Source organism: Homo sapiens, chromosome X, assembly GCF_000001405.40.
Source record: "Homo sapiens chromosome X, GRCh38.p14 Primary Assembly".
Lineage (NCBI taxonomy): Eukaryota > Metazoa > Chordata > Mammalia > Primates > Hominidae > Homo > Homo sapiens.
This window is the reverse complement of record NC_000023.11, coordinates 85,297,355-85,316,581: the sequence shown is the minus strand read 5'-3', so window position 1 is coordinate 85,316,581 and position 19,227 is coordinate 85,297,355. Positions and strand designations below refer to the sequence as shown.

General features: G+C 35.8%; 1 protein-coding gene across 3 annotated transcripts in view; it reads left to right on the top strand.

The window, feature by feature from the left end:
- POF1B (POF1B actin binding protein) overlaps positions 1-19,227 on the top strand; it is a 102,270-nt gene that overhangs the window by 63,084 nt on the left and 19,959 nt on the right. For all 3 annotated transcript variants that reach the window (XM_005262203.5, NM_024921.4, NM_001307940.2), the window contains exons 8-15: positions 848-875; positions 2,076-2,150; positions 8,366-8,458; positions 9,306-9,419; positions 10,249-10,401; positions 10,672-10,791; positions 12,111-12,239; positions 13,094-13,176. In XM_005262203.5, the coding sequence (XP_005262260.1) occupies positions 848-875; positions 2,076-2,150; positions 8,366-8,458; positions 9,306-9,419; positions 10,249-10,401; positions 10,672-10,791; positions 12,111-12,239; positions 13,094-13,176 (795 nt within the window). The remainder of the gene's footprint in view (positions 1-847; positions 876-2,075; positions 2,151-8,365; positions 8,459-9,305; positions 9,420-10,248; positions 10,402-10,671; positions 10,792-12,110; positions 12,240-13,093; positions 13,177-19,227) is intronic.

The following is a 19,227-nucleotide window of genomic DNA, read 5'->3' as shown; positions in this document are numbered from 1 at the left end:
CCATATATATTTTGGGCCTAATTCTTCCATCAAGTGGAGCGGGAACAAGTTGGCAAAAATGAAGGCCTATGTCTTGCCCCAGACAACACTATCAATGTATCCTTTCCAGTTTTCAACGTTCCCAAAGGAGTAAGTGCCAGTCTGGTATAACCAGTAACAATTCTCCTTCAGCATTTTCCTACCTATCACGGCTCCACAAAGGGTCTTTCGACCCCTGTGACCAAATCCTCATTATGATGCTGGAAATTCTATTACCCCACTAGAATTTTGATCATTTTGCTTAATGCTTTGTCCCTATGTAAAGATTCAAATATCCTTCAAGCCAGTCATTACCAAATATACTCTACTATAGATTAAATGAGTTATTCAGGCTTGTCTTGCAAGCTTTGATTTTGTTAAAGAGGGTATGAAGAACTTGAAAACACTGTGGAGAGAAGATGGAATCAGCACTGAAACATACAAGGAGAAAATGAAGGTGGAAATAGAGAGATAAAGGCTATTTTTCTTGTTCATTCACCCAAGAAGCATTTATTGCCAAGCACTGAGGACTTCTAATCTAGGCACAATTAAACTGGTGCTAACGGATGGTACTAACCACTTCTGCATATTTTATTATTTTGTTATTCAGATGTTCTTTTTTAATAGATTTGCTAATTCCAGAAAAAAAAATTTAGTCAAACTAAGTAAAAGTGCCATTTTAGTTTTAACATTTTCACTTGTGCTTATAAATTGAATAAGTCCTCTTATATTTCAAAAAGTAAGATAAAATTAATAGAAAACTAGCATTTATATATGATCAGTGAATACCTTTTCCTAAAGTTGTGTATCTTTTTTTTTGTTCTTGCAGCAAACAGGACTTTGAGTCTACAGATGAGGTAAGTGCAAAGATAGTTGAAAATCGAATATAGTATAATAACAAAGTAGATTCTGATATTTGCAATAATAATATTCTTTCAGTTAAGTACCTTACTAGACTGAAAATGCAGGTAAGTGAAAAAATTTATGGCCATTTTGCCTTTAAAATTATATAAACACTACATATTTATAATAGCTATAAAACTAGTAATTATTCACAAAAAAATTGTTATCAGCTGTCACTTTATGATTTGTCTATGCTTATTGCAATGTTTATTTGAAATGTTCTATTTTTAATTTTTGTGTGTACATAGTAGGTGTATTTATTTATGGGGTACAAGAGATGTTTCACTGACCACATATTCTCTGCTTTAGAAAACTGAAATCTATATGATTAATTAAATAGCAAATGTAGTTTTAATATGCTTCAAAACCTTATATGTGCCATGCCAGTCAGCAACTTAAAGTAAAAATATTTTCAAGTATTAATCTATTACATATGCATATTATCTTAATTGCTTTTAATAGAATAATCAAATAGAGAAAAACCTATTTCAATGCAATAAAAAGCACAATTCCCTCTTTAGTGTTTTTAATCATTTTTTCCAGTGTACTGGCATACTGCATTCATTACAATTATGCAGTAATTCCTAAATTGCCTTTAAGAAATACTTCACTTCAGCTACTCACTTAAAATTAGTTGAAGCTGTTTCAGTGTTGTGGTGGCAACATCATAATCTTCCAAAAGTCACCACAGCTCTATGTAAATTCTCAGTAAAACCTGTAACTCCCTTAATTTTTATTTCCCAAAGTTTTCCTTATTTCAAAAATCAGCTTCTAGAATGTCATATCTGTCACTCAACAAAACTTCCAGTTTTAAAAAATATACAATGAATAAAGTGTGTAAAGGAATTTAATAGACCATTTTGCTTTTAATTTCGTCTTTTTAAAAATAGAAATGGAACTTCTCATTGGTTGCCCAAAGGTTTTCCCTAAAATGCGTGGAATTCAGGATTATTTTTATACTGTTTGTAATATAATTGATTTTTTTAAAATAAGAACTGATAAGGCTATAAATTAAACTCATAGAAACTGTTTCTCAAAAAGTGAATTAGTCTTTTAATATTCCTAAAATATGTCCCATTACACAAAAGTCTGTGGATTGCTGATCTTAAGATTGATATGTATCTGTTCCATGGATAAGCCTTTTTTTCTTACAGTCGGAAGACATTGAATCATTGATTCCTAAAGGATTATCAGAGTTTACAAAACAGCAAATACGCTACATTCTGCAGGTGAGTTGGGGTCAAGAGTGGATGTGTGAAATCAACACTAACAAACAGCTTCCTAGGTTGCTTCCCTTAATTAAGAACAGAAAGTCCCAAATTAAAATCTTATTTCCTAAGAGTTGAGGATTCTTTGGTTAGACAAGGGATATATTTCAGTTTGGTGAGATCACCAAAAATTATATTGAATCACTAGCATTTGGGAAAACATTCTCGAAATATTATTCCCTTCTGTAGAATGCCCTTATTCACTCCTCAGCGCTTTAGTACAATCTGACTCTATCTCATAGTTTTTGCCTTCCTCTTCTCCATTCCACCCTCTTCCCTACCACTAGCCAGACTGATAAAGAAGAAAAGAGAGAAAAATCAAATAGACACAATAAAAAATGATAAAGGGGATGTCACCACTGATCCCACAGAAATACAAACTACCATCAGAGAATACTATAAACACATCTACGCAAATAAACCAGAAAAACTAGAAGAAATGGAAAAACTCCTAGAAACATACACCCTCCCAAGGCTAAACCAGGAAGAAGTTGAATCCTTGAAAGGACCAATAACAAGTTCTGAAATTGAGGCAGTAATTAATAGCCTACCAACCAAAAAAAAAGAAAAAAGAAAAGAAAAAGCCCAGGAGCAGATGGATTCACAGCCAAATTCTACCAGGGGTACAAAGAGGAGCTGGTAACATTCCTTCTGAAACTATCCCAAACAATAGTAAAAGAGAGACTCCCCCCTAACTCGTTTTATGAGGCCAGCATCATCCTGATACCAAAATCTGGCAGAGACAGAACAAAAAAGGAAAATTTCAGGCCAATATCCCTGATGAACGTCGATGCAAAAATCCTCAATAAAATACAGCAAACTGAATCCAGCAGCATATCAAAAAGCTTATCCACCATGATCAAGTCAGCTTCATCGCTGGAATGCAAGGCTGATTCAACATATGCAAATCAATAAACATAATCCATTACATAAACAGAATCAATGACAAAAACCACATGACTATCTCAATAAAGGCAGAAAAGGCCTTTGATAAAATTCAACACCGCTTCATGCTAAAAACTCTCAATAAACTAGGTATTGATGGGATGTATCTCAAAATAATAAGAGCTATTTACGACAAACCAACAGCCAATATCATACTGAATGGACAAAAGCTGGAAGCATTGTCTTTGAAAACCGGCACAAGACAAGGATGCCCTCTCTCACTACTCCTATTCAACATAGTATTGGAAGTTCTGGCCAGGGCAACAAGGCAAGTGAAAGAAATAAAGGGGATTCAAATAGCAAGAGAGGAAGTCAAATTGTCTCTGTTTGCAGACGACATGATTGTATATTTAGAAAACCCCATCGTCTCAACCCAAAATCTCCTTAAGCTGATAAGCAACTTCAGCAAAGTCTCAAGATACAAAATCAATGTGCAAAAGTCACAAACATTCCTATACATCAATAATAGACAAACAGAGGGCCAAATCTTGAGTGAACTCACATTCACAATTGCTACAAAGAGAATAAAATACCTAGGAATATAACTTATAAGGGATGTGAAGGACTTCTTCAAGGAGAGCTACAAACCACTGTTCAAGGAAATAAGAGAGGACACAAACAAATGGAAAAACATTCCATTGTTATGGATAGGAAGAATCGATATCTTGAAAATGGCCATACAGCTGAAAATAATTTATAGATTCAGTGCTAACCCCATCAAGCTACCATTGACTTTCTTCACAGAATTAGAAAAAATACTTTAAATTACATATGGAACCAAAAAAAGAGCCCATATATCCAAGACAATCCTAAGCCAAAAGAACAAAGCTGGAGGCATCATGCTACCTGACTTCAAACTATACTACAAGGCTTCAGTAACAAAAACAGCATGGTACCGGTACCAAAACAGAGAGATAGACCAATGGAACAGAACAGAGGCCTCAGAAATAATGCCACACATTTACAACTATTGGATCTTTGACAAACCTTACAAAAACAAGCAATGGGGAAAAGATTCCCTGTTTAATAAATAATGCTGGGAAAACTGGCTAGCCATATGCTGAAAACTGAAACTGGACCCCTTCCTTACACTTTATACAAAAATTAACTCAAGATGGATTAAAGACTTAAAGGTAAGACCTAAAACCATAAAAACTCTAGAAGAAAACCTAGGCAATACCATTCAGGACATAGGCATGGGGAAGACTTCATGACTAAAACACCAAAAGCAATAGCAACAAAAGCAAAAATTGACAAATGGGATCTAATTAAACTAAAGAGCTTCTGCACAGCAAAAGAAACTATTATCAGAGTGAACAGGCACCCTACAGAATGGGAGAAAATGTTTGCAATCTATCCATCTGACAAAGGGCTAATACCCAGAATCTACAAAGAATTTAAACAAATTTACAAGAATCAAACAAACAACCCCATCAAAAAGTGGCCAAAGGGTATGAACAGACATTTCTCAAAATAAGACATTAATGCAGCCAACAAACATGAAAAAATGCTCATCATCACTGGTCATTAGAGAAATGCAAATCAAAACCACAATGAGATACCATCTCACGTGAGTTAGAATGGCGATCATCAAAAAGTCAGGAAAAAACAGATGCTGGAGTGGATGTGGAGAAATAGGAACGCTTTTAGATTATTGGTGGGAGTGTAAATTAGTTCAACCAGTGTGGCGCTTCCTCAAGGATCTAGAACTAGAAATACCATTTGACTCAGCAATCCCATTACTGGGTATATACCCAAAGATTATAAATCATTCTACTATAAATACACATGCACACATATGTTTATTGCAGCACTATTCACAATAGCAAAGACTTGGAACCAACCCAAATTGCCCATCAATGATAGACTAGATAATGTGGGACATACGCACCATGGAATACTATGCAGCCATTAAAAAGGATGAGTTCATGTCCTTTGCAGGGACATGGATGAAGCTGGAAACCATCATTCGCAGCAAACTGACACAGAAACAGAAAACCACACACCTCATGTTCTCACTCATAAGTGGGAGTTGAACAGTGAGAACACATGGGAACATCACACACTGGGGCCTGTCAGGGGGTGGGGGGCTAGGGGAGGGATAGCATTAGGAGAAATACCTAATGTAGATAGATGACAGGTTGATGGGTGCAGGAAACCACCATGGCACGTGTATACCTATGTAACAAACCTGCACGTTCTGCACATGTATCCCAGAACTTAAAGTATAATAAAAAAAGAAAACTCTAGAAAAGAAGGAAAACTTATTGTATTTACCATATTTTTGCTTACAATGCTATATCTTCCTTCTTAATATTCCAAATTCTTTCTTTTATGATTTTCTTCTCTTTAGACAACTTCTTTTAGCTATTCTTTAAGGGTAGGTCTGCTAGTAACAAATTATTTTCATTTTCCCTCATCTGAAAATGTGAATTTCCCTCCATTCCTAAAGGATAATTTCACTGCATATAGAATTTACAGTTGACAATTATTTTCTTTTAGTACTTAAAAAATAGTATCCTAGTTCCTTCTGGGCTTCATGATTTGTAATGAGAAATCTGTTGTCATTTGAATTGTTATTCCCAATAATTAATGTTTTTCTTGCTGCTTTGAAAATTTTTAGTTTGTCTTTAGTTTTAAGAAGTTTGACTCTGATTTGTCTGGTAATGGATTTCTTTGGGTTTATATTGTTTGGGATATGCTCAGCTTCTTGAATATGTATGTTACCAGGTTTTACTAATTTGGGAAACTTCTCAGCCATAATTTTTTTGAATATTTTTTCAGCTCCATCCTCTTTCTCCTTTCCTTCCAGGACTCTGAACATGAAAGCTAGATATGTGGTGTACACCCACAAACCCTTAAGCTCTGTTTAATTTTTTCTAATCTATTTGTTTCTGATATTCAGATTATATACTTTATTTTATTCTATCTTTAAGTTCATTAATTCTTTCCTCTGTTCTCTCCATTCTGCTTTTTAGCCCACTCCTTGAGAGCTTTGTTGTTTTGGTTTGGTTTTTGTTTCTTTGTCTTGTTACTGTCCTTTTCAGTTCTAAAATTTCCATTTAGGTATTCTTTATGTCTTCTATTTATTTGCTGAGACTTTCTATTTTGTCATTGAGACAATGTGTTTTTACAGTCTCCTTGCAACTTCTTGTTGAAGTATTTATGATGGTTGTTTTATACACTTTATCAGATAATTCTAACATTTCTATTATCTTGATGTTGTCATCAATTAAGTGTTTTTTCTTATTGGTTGAGATTTTTGTTGTTCTTGGAATTATGAGTGATTTTCAATTGACCCTGAACATGTCTGATCTTGTTTGATCTCAGAAGCTAAGCAGGATTGAGCCTGGCTAGTACTTGGATGGGAGACCTGGCCATTTTTATGTTGTGACTCTCTGGGTCTCATTCAAATATTCAAATATCAGAGAAAGTGTGTGCACTACCTATTACTGCCAGCTGGTGGTGGAAGTTGAGGTTCCCCCACTCAGCTTCTCTTGATGCGATAGGGTGAAAGCCCAAGCTCCCTTCACAGTCTCAACTGACATCACAGTGCATGGAATTTCATTTTTGGCCAGTAGGAATGAAAGCACCATTCTTCACTCTGTCTTTTCTGACACCATCCCAGTGAATGGTGTTGTGTACCTCCCTAGAGCCTGACAAGGGGGCAGTCTAAGCTCTCTTCTTGGCCTTTGGTGGTCCGTGTGGAAGTAGAGTTGCAATTTCTTCTGTGGTGTTTGGCTAAGATAGAGTGGTTACTATCTAAAAGTTTTCTGTCCTGCTAGGCTGACCCTTTCATGGTCCTTTGGTTAGAGAGAGAAGGCTTTTCTCAGGACTTTTGTTGTCCATTGATGTAACTAGATCACCAGCTTGCCCAACACTGATCTAATATATGAAGCAAAAAGAAAATCCAGGAACTCACTGCTGTGTCATTTCTCAGGTCCCAAGATTCCTAACCAATCATTTCTCTTTTCACCAATTTGGGTCTTTTTATATTTGTTTTATATATAATGTCCAGGGTTTTTAGCTGCAATTAACAGGAAGGCTAGGGAAAAGTATTTTTTTTCTTTTTTCTTTCTTTTTTTTTTTTGTGAAGCAACAAAAGTAGAGATTTATTGAAAATGAAAGCACACTCCACAGGGTGGGAGTGGGCTGAGCAATTGGCTCAAGTGCACAGTTATATAATTTTATGTGGTTTAAATGTCCTCTAGAGGTTTCCCATTGGTAACTTGGTGTACACTCTATGTAAATGAAGTAGTGGCCCGTTATCAGTCGGATTGGTTGCAGAAAGTGACCAATCAGAGGCTGAAGTTACAAAGTTAAACCTTAAACAACGTCTGATTGGTTGTGGAAAGTATTTTTACTCCATCTTCCCAGAAGCTGAAGTTGTCTGTTTTTTAAACCATTTTTCTTTAAAGAAATAAGAATAATCTAGTAAAAGAGTTTCCCCTCTCTTTAAAATTTGAGATAAGCCAGGTGCAGTGGCTCACACCTGTAATCCCAGCACTTTAGGAGGCCAAGGCTGGTGGATCACTTGAGGTCAGGAGTTCGAGACCAGCCTGGCCAACACAGTGAAATCCGTTCTCTACTCAAAATACAAAAATTCACCAGGTGTGTTGGTGCATACCTGTAGTCCCAGCTACTTGGGAGGCTGAGGTGGAAGAATTGCTTGAACCCAGGGGGCAGAGATTGCAGTGAACTGAGATCATGCCACTACACTCCAGCCTAGGCGACAGAGTGAGACTCTGGTAAAAAAACAAAAACAAAACAAAAAAAACCAAAAATATTTAGATAGCTCTATACTTTAAAGTTAAACTTAATTATAATTATATTCTTCTCACCTCAGGCAAAATTCAGGCAGTTGGCAATACACTTAGGGAGATTCATTTTATTATTTGATTATTGACTGTCTCATCTCTTCTAATCTTTTAAATAAAGAATAATGTAAAAATTAAATTTTGCTGATAGAATTCTACTTTGTGACAAAGATGATACTTTATCATGGAAAAAATAATAAATATTTGTTATAAATACTAGCTATGCTATCTTCAGGAATATTATTTGGATTACTTAAACACACTATTGACAAAATGCCTTATATCACCTTTCTAATTTGCCATATCAAAGTAAAATTATTAATAAGTTTGCTAGTAGGAAAAAAAAAACTTTCACTTATATTGCCTATTTTCAAATGTTAATAAAACTAAACCATTAATCCTTTCTTCCTGCAGATGAGGGGTATGTCTGATAAGTCACTCCGACTAGTGCTGTCCACATTTAGCAACATACGGGAGGAGCTTGGACATCTTCAAAATGATATGACAGTAAGATTTATTTTGATTTTTTCCAAAGCCTTTCTAGTTACTAGCTTCCTAATACAGAAATAAAGATGTCCAGTATATGTTTTTAAAATTTAATATAGCACAATATTATGCTTATTCAGACAAAGCTAAATTATTTTCTTCAAACAGTTAATTGGCATTGAGAGAGGAGAAAAGAGGTATCCAAAGTATAAATGAAAGAATGTTGGATGTGCACTTATCATTTAGTTTACCACTAAGGCAATTTAATGCTTAAAGCCAGAGAGTCATCTGCAAAGTTAAAATAATCTGACTCATTGGAGGTAAATTCCCCCTTTTTCATAATTATAAAGCATACTCTGAATTTCCATTCAAATATAATAACTTGAAAACATTTTTCTCCAAAAAATTAATTTTTTTCCATTTTCTATTTTAATTGGTGTTCTTGGTGCCATCAGCTAGATACATTCAGAATGCTTTCCACACATTGAATAATGCCTTGAGGACTTTGGAGTAGTTTTGTTGTTTCTGGGTTATGATGAACATATTTAGACTCTAATTTAAAAATTTACCACTCGCTGGGATTAACGAGGACTCTTTGTAGATTGGAGGAAAACATTAAAACATTTCAGAGGGTTGTGCTTCATTTCATGTATAGTTAGTCCATCAAAATGTCTCTTTCAATGAAGGTTTTAGAAGTTTCAATCATTTCCTATCCCGTATTTTCTTAACTTTTAAGAATTCTGCTTTATTAAGCAAGTACAAATGAAACAAGTGCTTATTTAAATCTTCCAAGGTAAGCAAGTCTTTGTATTATGTGACTGTTAAGTTTTTGCAATTCTGAATCATAATAAATAATTTATGCTTCTAGTCACTGGAAAATGACAAGATGAGACTTGAGAAAGATTTATCATTCAAAGACACTCAATTAAAAGAGTACGAAGAACTCTTGGCATCAGTGAGAGCAAATAATCACCAGCAGCAGGTAAACTGATGCTTTTATTGGTGTTAATCTACATTGATAGCTTTTCATATGCACAATTACTGGCACATTGGAGTTATGAGATATAATCAAGACAGAATTAAATATGATGGAAAAATTTGTTCATATGAGAATTGAGTGGCTTTGGGTATTTCTAATGGCTGAAAGCCCTCTCAGAAAAACAGATAATCTTATCTATTTTAGATATAAAGTACATATGGGACACAATTATTTGTCTTGTTGGGTGACCAGAATTGTAGAAATACTAAAAATCTAGGTTCATGCATTTATTTAATGTACTAACATGTCAATGAGAAAAGCTGTTGTAGACCTTAATACATGTTTGTGCAATAAATAAATGACTGAAAAAACTCTAGATGAATTCTCTGGATGTCTGAGCAGAGAGAATTCCTAGGAAATTGTAAGTAGTCTCTAAGGATTACCCTCTTCCTGATCTTTACTCCTATGGCTGTCCCAAATTCTTGCTCAGTTACTAGTTGTCATGTAAATAATCAGGCATATGGTCGTTTCTGTGCCTACTAGAAAGCAGGGTACAGTATTGTCACAGAGTAGCAAGAGTCTGATTGTTAAATTGAGACATTATAAATTCATCTAGTCATGATTCCCTCTCTCACAAAATAGATGAGTGAGACTAGAGGCAACACTATAATATCTTACATGGGTGACTTAATGTACCATCTAAGACCCAGAGTATAAGAAAACTGGGCATAGGAAAATATTTACTTGATTCAATTGAATGAATCAATAAAAAGAACACTCCCTCACCAAAAACAAAATGCATTTGTCTTATGTACTTGTGTCTTCTTTACAGCAAGGACTTCAAGACTCAAGTTCAAAATGCCAGGCATTGGAAGAAAACAATCTCTCTCTTCGACATACACTATCAGACATGGAATACAGACTAAAAGAACTGGAATATTGTAAACGTAATTTAGAGCAAGAGAATCAAAACCTTAGAATGCAGGTATTAAAACTTCCTTTTAAATATACAGTATTACCTTAGTTACATCATTGTAATCCTAGCATTTAGAAAACATATGGACTGCTTTCCCTCACATACTGTTAGATCTTAATCACTGACATTTGAGCTTTATAATGCAGTTCCTGAAAATCACTTTCATTATTTCAATGTCTTATTTAATCATGTGGTTTTCATCTAATAACAATCCTTGTAACATAACATGTATTTTCTTCAAAACAATCCAATTACAGATAGTTATTTTGCCTTCTGTAGGTTTCTGAGACTTGCACAGGCCCAATGTTGCAGGCTAAAATGGATGAGATTGGCAACCACTACACGGAGATGGTAAAAAACTTGAGAATGGAGAAAGATAGAGAGATCTGCAGACTGAGGGTATGTTGATCCTACATTGCATAAATACACAGGTCAGCACAAACTTTCTAGCAAGATAATGATGGCTTCAAGTTTAAAGCTACCAGAAAAAATTAGCTGAAGGTAGAGTTTTAGAAATATGTCATGTATTCATTTGTTTTAAATACATTACTGTATCTAAAATATAACTGTTAAATGATTTTCTAATTTAGCTTAATTTCTTCTAGGAAAGTAAAAGAAGATATTCATTTCAGTGGTTTGGTTTTGGTTTTTATTAATTTATTTTTTGGGATAGATGGAGGACTCTTCATGATCTTGCCTAAAGCATGCTTATGTAGGCAAAAGCAATATATGAAATTACTCAACAGAGCCATAGTTAGATTTGTAAAAATTCTCACTTAATTTCGAGGGATGATGAATAGCAAGGACTTTGTCAAGCATGAGGAGGAAAACAGTGTTAAGTTTTAGGTACCTATAGTTGACATCAAAATTAAGGTGATATTTATAAGTATATATTGCCTTAACTTGTAATTCTAGGTTGAATTTACTTAATCTAACCCTTATTTTACTGATTCCTAAAGGTAGTAAAATATACTTAAATATTTTAATAAACAAAATAATCACAAATTTGTCTCTCCAAACATCACTGTATAATTTTTACCAAAAATCAAAATGAAACAAAATATAATTTGTTTTCCAAACCTACCAATACTTCTAGCAGATTTCCTCCACTGATTTCTTTTCCATTCCAACATTACTAACAGCACTTCTACCTAAGCTACACACATATGAGGTAAAGAGGGAAATGGACAAGATTTGTAGTCAGAAGACCTGTTTTGGAGTTGCAGCTATGTTACTGCGTGACTGTGTCATTTAACCTCTCTGGAGCCCATTATCTGTTTTGTAAATGAAGATTATAATAATGCTTATTTCATGGGACTGCTGTGAGAACTGAGATAATTCATGCAGGAGGAATATTTTGTGAACTGAAAATCAGAATATAATAGTAGTAATTTGTTATTGCTATTTCCTTAATTATTATTTCAAGGACTCTAAAGTGCCTGTTTTCTTAGCTTTACTTTAAATTTTGTGGCCTAAGACTGTTACGTAGATAATGTTTAGTCCTACATAGCAAAGACACCTTAAAAAAAGGAGAAATTTGTAATTGGCATTTCATTTCATATTACATACTCATGAAATTCTTCGAACGTTTATGACTATTGGTATTTTACTTTCATTTCATAACTGTGTGAGTTTGTGTCACTTAACCTCCCTGGAACTCAGTTACACATTTTCTATATGAAGATTATAATAATATTTATTTCTTTTTAAATCCTTAGTCCCAATTAAACCAGTACCATAAAGATGTTTCAAAGAGAGAAGGAAGTTGTAGTGACTTCCAATTTAAGCTTCATGAACTGACAAGCTTGCTGGAAGAGAAGGATTCCCTCATAAAGCGTCAGTCAGAGGTATAAAAGGAAGGGGTGGGGATGGAGAAAAGTAATACAACTTAGTACTGTAGTACTGTAGGATAAATACTTCCCATGGACTAGAAAAGGACACATATCCAAGAGTCACTTTATTTAATGAAATAAAATGTAGGTGCAAGTGAGGAAGTAGAATATACATATTTCAGGAGACACAATTCAAATGAAAGTTACAATTGAAGCAAAAAATAAGTGCTGTTATACATTTAATATTTTTAAGACATTGATTTTATATTTCATTAGCAGTGAAATTCCCAGTAGACTGTGACCTCCTTACTACATTATGAGCTGCTTCATTAAAGCATGTGTTATATTCCTCCTTGTATCTGTAGCATGTAGCCCATGACCTGGCATTCAATAGGTACTGAAGGAATTGTCAAAAATTATGGGTAATATTGTATTGCTGTTATGGAGCAAATGGTGCTTGTAGTAACATTCATTGATAAACTCTCTCTTAAGAAACTATATCTGCTTATATATTGAAGTTTCAATACTTTTCTTCTATGGATATACTTTTCAGGCTTTTCAGAGCAAAAACTTTCACATCCTCATCCTGAGAACCACGCCCATTCAATCTCAAGTTATCCTCCAAATTTAGATATCCTGTATCAGTTGCAGGTTCCTGCACCGGCATATAATATAACTTATTAGGTACTGTGAAGCAACACTAGGTGATATTCAACAAGTGGGATTAGAACATTATTACGTCAAGGCTAAAAAGGGGTAAAAGGGAGGGGGTATAATCATTGTTAGTAACCCTTCTAAATGATTAAATATATTTATTATCTCATGTTTCTACTTTCCATCAAATGATTATATTATCTTTTATTTGTAAGGAACTCTCCAAGTTGCGGCAAGAAATATATTCCTCTCATAACCAACCCTCCACTGGTGGAAGGACTACTATTACCACTAAAAAGTAATGTATTTTTAAATGAAATTTGAATATAAAAATTATGATCATATAATCCAAGTTATTTCATGTTTAATTGGTATATACAAGCTAGACAGAGTTTGGTGTTTTCTGCTGGCCAGTTATTCTACTGAAGAATGAATATTCACAAAAAGACATCACTATTGTGGTCAAAAAAATCCTGAAGCACATCTTTCCTGAATTTACAATATATTAATTACCTTGGAAGTGAAAAACAAATAATTGTTTTTTTAACCAACCACATTAGTTAGGACTCTTTCTGTTTCATGTGACAAGAGACCCAATGTAAACTGGGACTTTTTAAATTCACTTAAATGGGGTTACTTGGTATCCAGATGGATTTGTGTGTTCAAAATATGCCTTTATAAATATGTCTTTCTTTATATCTTGGCTCTGCTCTTTCCTGTGTAGACATCTTAATCAGGTAAGGTCTACCCTCACGGTAGCAATATGACCACAAATTACATTCCAGCCATTTAGCAAAACCAAATATAAAGTAATTATGAATAGCTTCAGCAGAAGTCTATTTTGGATATTTCATATAAATGAAATAATACAACATATAGTCTTTTGTGTCTGGATTTTTCATTTTGCATAATGTTTGCAGGATGCAAGCATGATTTAGCATGAGTCAAGACTTCATTCCTTTTGGTTGCTAAATAATATCCAGTTGTATGGATATACATTTTATTTATTGATTAATCAGTTGGACATTTGGGTTGTTTTCAATTTTTGGCTATTGTGAATAATGCTGCTGTGAACGTCTGTGTACAAGTGTGTAAGGTACATGTATTCATTTCTTTTGAGTATATACCTAGGAGTGGAATTGATAGGTCACATGATAACTCTATGCTTAAGGAATTGCCATACTGTTTTCTAAAGCAAAAGCACCATCATACATTCCTAGTAGTGTATGACGGTTCCACTTTCTCCCCATCCTCGTTGCCATTTGTTATTGTTCATCTCTTGGATTATGGCCATCCTAGGTGGTGGAAAGTGGTATCCAATTGGAGTTTTGATTTGTATTCCCTAATAACTAATGTTTTTTAGCAATTTTTATGTGCTTATTGGCCATTTATACATCTTGTTTGAAGAAATGTCCATTCAATTTTTTTCCATTTTTTAAGTGAGTTGTCTTTTTATAGTTGAATTGCAAGAGATTTTCACATGTTCACAAGTCCCTTATCAGAGACAAGATTTGCAAATATTTTCATCAATTCCATGGGTTGTCTTTTCACTATCTTGAGAGTATAATATGCAGCATAAGTATTTAATATAGAAAAAAATCCAATTCATCTATATTTTTTCTTGCTTGTGCTTTTGGTATTATATACAAGAAACTGTTGACTAACCCAAGATCATAAATTTTACATTCATAAGTATTTTGTCTTATATTAATATAAACTGTCTTCTGGTTACTAATTGTATGAAATATCTTTTTCTGTCCTTTCATTTTTGACCTATTTGTGTATTTGATTCTAAACTGTGACTCTTGTAAACCACACATGGTTGTATCTTTTTATACATTCTGCCAATCTCTGCTTTTAGCTGGAATATTTAATGCACTTACATTTAATGTAATTCATAAGTTAGAATTTACATTAGCTATTTTGCTATTTGTTTCTATGTCTTATGTTTTTTGTTCTTCTGTTCCTCCATTCCTGCCTTCTTCTGTGTAAAATATTTTCTACAGTAACATTTTAATTCCATTTTAGTTACTTTTACTATATTTTCTGAGTTTTTCCCCTTAGGTTTCCCCCAGAAATTTAATTAATATTTACCTGTATAGTTACCTTTACTGGTGATCTTTATTTCTTCAAATGGATTTGGGATGCTGTATAGAGTCCTTAAATTTCAGCCTGAAGGACTCCTTTAGTATTTCTTGTAGGACTCCCTTTAGTATTTCTTGTAGAACAGGTTTTGCAGTGACAAATTCTTTGGGTTTTTGCTTGTATGGGAATATATTGCTTTTCCTTCATTTTTGAAGAATGGTTTTGCTGGATAAAATAATTCTCAGCTGACAGTGTTTTTTTGTTACTTGGAATATGTCATCCCATTGCCTTCTGGCCTCTATAATTTCTGATGAGAAATCAGTTGATAATTTTTAATTGAGGATCCCCCTGACATGTTTCTTTTTTACTGCTTTCAAGATTATTTTTTTCTATGGCCCTTGACTGTTTGATTATTATGTGTCAAGGTTTGGATCTCTTATTTTTCACTATTTGGCATTTGCTGAGCTTCTTTGATGTGCAGATTGATATTTTTAATCAAATCTGGGAAGTTTTCAGACATTTCTTCAGCTATCATTCCTGCCACTTTCCTCCCTCTCCTTGTGGAGTCCCCATAAACAGAACAGAATGTTCTGAGGCTCTGTTTATTTTTCTTCATTCTTTTTTCTTTCTGTTCCTCAGAATAGATAAACTCAACGGACCTTCTTTGCAATTTGTTGATTCTTTCTTCCATTTGCTTACATCGGCTGTTGAGAAATTTAAATCTAGTTATTATCTTTTTTACCTCAGAATTACTGTAGTTTCTCTTAAAAGTAATTTCTCTTTCTTTAATAATGTTCTTTATTCCATAAGCCACAACTCTCATCCTTTCCTTTAGTTCTTTAGTTCTTTGAGCATACTTAAAATAGCCAATTTAAAGGCTATGTAAATGCAACATCTGGCTTCTTAATGGATAGTTTCAAGTGATTTTTTCCATGATAGGCAATATTTTCTTGTTTCTTTGCATGTCTTATAATTTTTTATTGAAAACGTGACATTGAAAATAATATAATGTGGTAACTCTGGAAATTAGATACTCCCTCCTGCCAAGGTGTTCATTGTTGCTATTATTTGCTGTTGATGTTATTGTCTTTTGCTTAGTGGCTTTTCTGATTTAATTCTATAAAGTCTGTATTCTTTTCATATGTGGTCACTGAAGTCTCTGCTCATTTATCTTAGTGGTCAGTTAACATTTAAACAGAGGTTTCGTTACAAACATGAAACTAGTAAGTCTCCTAGTTTTCACTGAGAGGCTCTTTGTCTGTGTTTGGACACCTCTTCAATGTTCTGGTAGGCAATTTATAGCTCGTCCTTAGCCCCCAGTTCCTGCTTACACAGAGTTTTAAGGTTAGCCAGTACTGAGGGCTCAGGATTTTCTCAGGTCTTTCCTTCACATGCGTACAGCCTTGGGCATGTACAAAGCCCTACACATGCCTGTGGCTTTCTAGATTCCCAGGAACATATAACAAATTTTCAAAGCCCACTATGGACAATTTATTTCTCAGTTTTTCCTTTTATCATTTTTGGTCAATTTCTTGTCTGCCTGAACTATTATAGCCACCTCAGGTAGTTGTGATATTAAACAATTTCCACACATTATTTTCGACAAATGTTCCCAGGAAAAAGGATTTGCAAATTGGTTGAGCTACGAGTCAAGTTTTAAAAGGCATCCTTGCAAGTGGAGTTTTCCACAGAATCAACAGACAAATCAAACAATGACAATTATAACGACAATGTGGCTTTGAAGGAGCTCTAACCTTGTTTTGTCTTCTAGTTGCTGCCAGGCTCCTGGGTTTTACCCAGATTGTTTTAAGGGTCGGGCGCGGTGGCTCACGCCTGTAATCCCAGCACTTTGGGAGGCCGAGGTGGATGGATCACGAGGTCAGGAGATTGAGACCATCCTGGCTAACATGGTGAAACCCCGTCTCTACTAAAAATACAAAAAAAAAATTAGCCAGGCGTGGTGGCGGGCACCTGTAGTCCCAGCTACTCGGGAGGCTGAGGTAGGAGAATGGTGTGAAAACAGGAGGTGGAGGCTGGGCGCGGTGGCTCACGCCTGTAATCCCAGCACTTTGGGAGGCCGAGGCGGGCGGATCACGAGGTCAGGAGATCGAGACCATCCTGGCTAACACGGTGAAACCCGGTCTCTACTAAAAATACAAAAAATTAGCCAGGCGTGGTAGCGGGCGCCTGTAGTCCCAGCTACTCGGGAGGCTGAGGCAGGAGAATGGCGTGAACCCGGGAGGCGGAGCTTGCAGTGAGCCGAGATCGAGCCACTGCACTCCAGCCTGGGCGACAGAGCGAGACTCCGTCTCAAAAAAAAAAAAAAAAGAAAACAGGAGGTGGAGCTTGCAGTGAGCCAAGATCGCACCACTGCACTACAGCCTGGGTGACTGAGCAAGACTCCGTCTCAAAAAAAAAAAAAAAAAAGAAAAAAAAAGATTGTTTTAAAATTCTATTGCATAGTTGGAGAGACAGAGATGAGAATAGAACAATTTCAAATGCCACAAATCTTGCTGATTTAGCTGTTTTTCCTAAATAAATGCTCTCTGATGGCTGTAAAAGTTTATTAATTTTGAGAGTCCTGATAAAGTTAATTTTGATTTTTTTTGGCCAGATTTCCTTTTTCTTTTATGGCATAGAGCATTTCTGGAGGTTGTTGTATATTTTCACTGACATCGTCTTCCATTGCTTCCTTAAGCATGGTTTTTTTTTTAGTTCTTTGTATTCTCACTATGTTGCCCAGGCTGGCCTCAAATTCCTGGTCTCAAGCAATCATCCCATGATGACCTCTCAAAGTGTTGGGGTTACAGGCATGAGCCACTGAGCCCAGCCCTATAAACATATTTATTATAGCTACTTTGAAGTCTTTATCTTCTAAATACACCATCTGGTCCTCTTTGAAAGTAGTTTCTGGAGAGAGGGACAAGATGGCCAAGTAGACACATCCAGGAAGTACTTCTCCCACCACAAAAGACCAAAATATCTAATAAACAAACCAGCAAATTCTCCACTATCTGTTTGTACTTCAAACAGATCTTTGGAGAGAAAACACTGAGATTTGATAGGTAACACAGATACTAAGGCTGAATAGGGAGAAAGCTGGGAAAACTGCATTGGTGTGCCAAGCACCAGGATTAGTTCCTGGTCCTGAACACCTCCTAAGGAATGGGTGAGTGAAGTGACAGCAGGGCAACCCACTTTCACCATGTACCTCTGGCATCCTAGCTACAAGAGATCTCACGACTCTTGCAGTCATTTCAATTGTCAGGAGGATCTGCCCAAAGAATAGACAAAGACAGAGCTCTAGCCTGCAAGGACCCCAGGGGGTTTTACATGTGGAACAGCTGCAACAAAATGTGGCCATAGGCACCCATTCCCCCAAGGCTCTCTGGACACATCTGTTCTGCATGTCTTCCTGTCCACAATCCCTACAAGGCTCTTGCCTGGCTGATTCTGCAACTGTGTTCACACAGCACAGCCTCCACTGATTGGCCTGACAGTCTTGCCAGTGGCCCTGCTGGAGTGCTTTCCCCACAGCCTGGGAACACTTCAGCTCTCCTAGCACAACAGGTGCCTGATCCCAAGGAGGTAGAGGACAAAGCCACAGGCATGGTTCCAATGCCCCAAGGTTGCAGCACACACTCAGGAGTTCTGAGTTGAGATTTTTGCCAGAACTCAATCTGGGGAGGAGCCCCCAGTCTCAATACACTGAGTGTTAGGTGTGAGTTCATAGGCCAGTGCAGAAGCAGGGCACACCTCTGTCTCCAGGGCCTGTCCAGGAAGGGTGAGGCCTGTCTGCTAGACAAAATCTCTGCCTGAGAGAGCCCCATGGCCTAGAACATCTAACAAATGAAATGTGGATGCAGTGCCAGTGATCAAGTGGGGCTACCCTAAGGCCTGGGAATGGACCTGGCTAGGGTGTCATCTCTCTCCCCTGGTCCCCACAGAGTACCACTGCAAATGTGCAGAAATATAAAAAAGCCACAGAGCAGAGTAATACTCTCTGCCAACCATTACTCATCTACTCGATCACTGCCCAAATTACAATACCAAAAGTATTCTGCCAATACACATTGCCTGTGAAACCCAAGGTAAGAATCTAGCCACAAATAAAGATCCCATACAGAGCCTTGGCCCTCTGGAAGCACCTAGAAACAAAGCTAATTAACTATACTCAACTTGCACAACAGTTAAACCCTAAAGGGAAATAAAGAATATCAAAACAAAAAGCCTCATAGAAATTACAGCAAATCCAAAACACAAA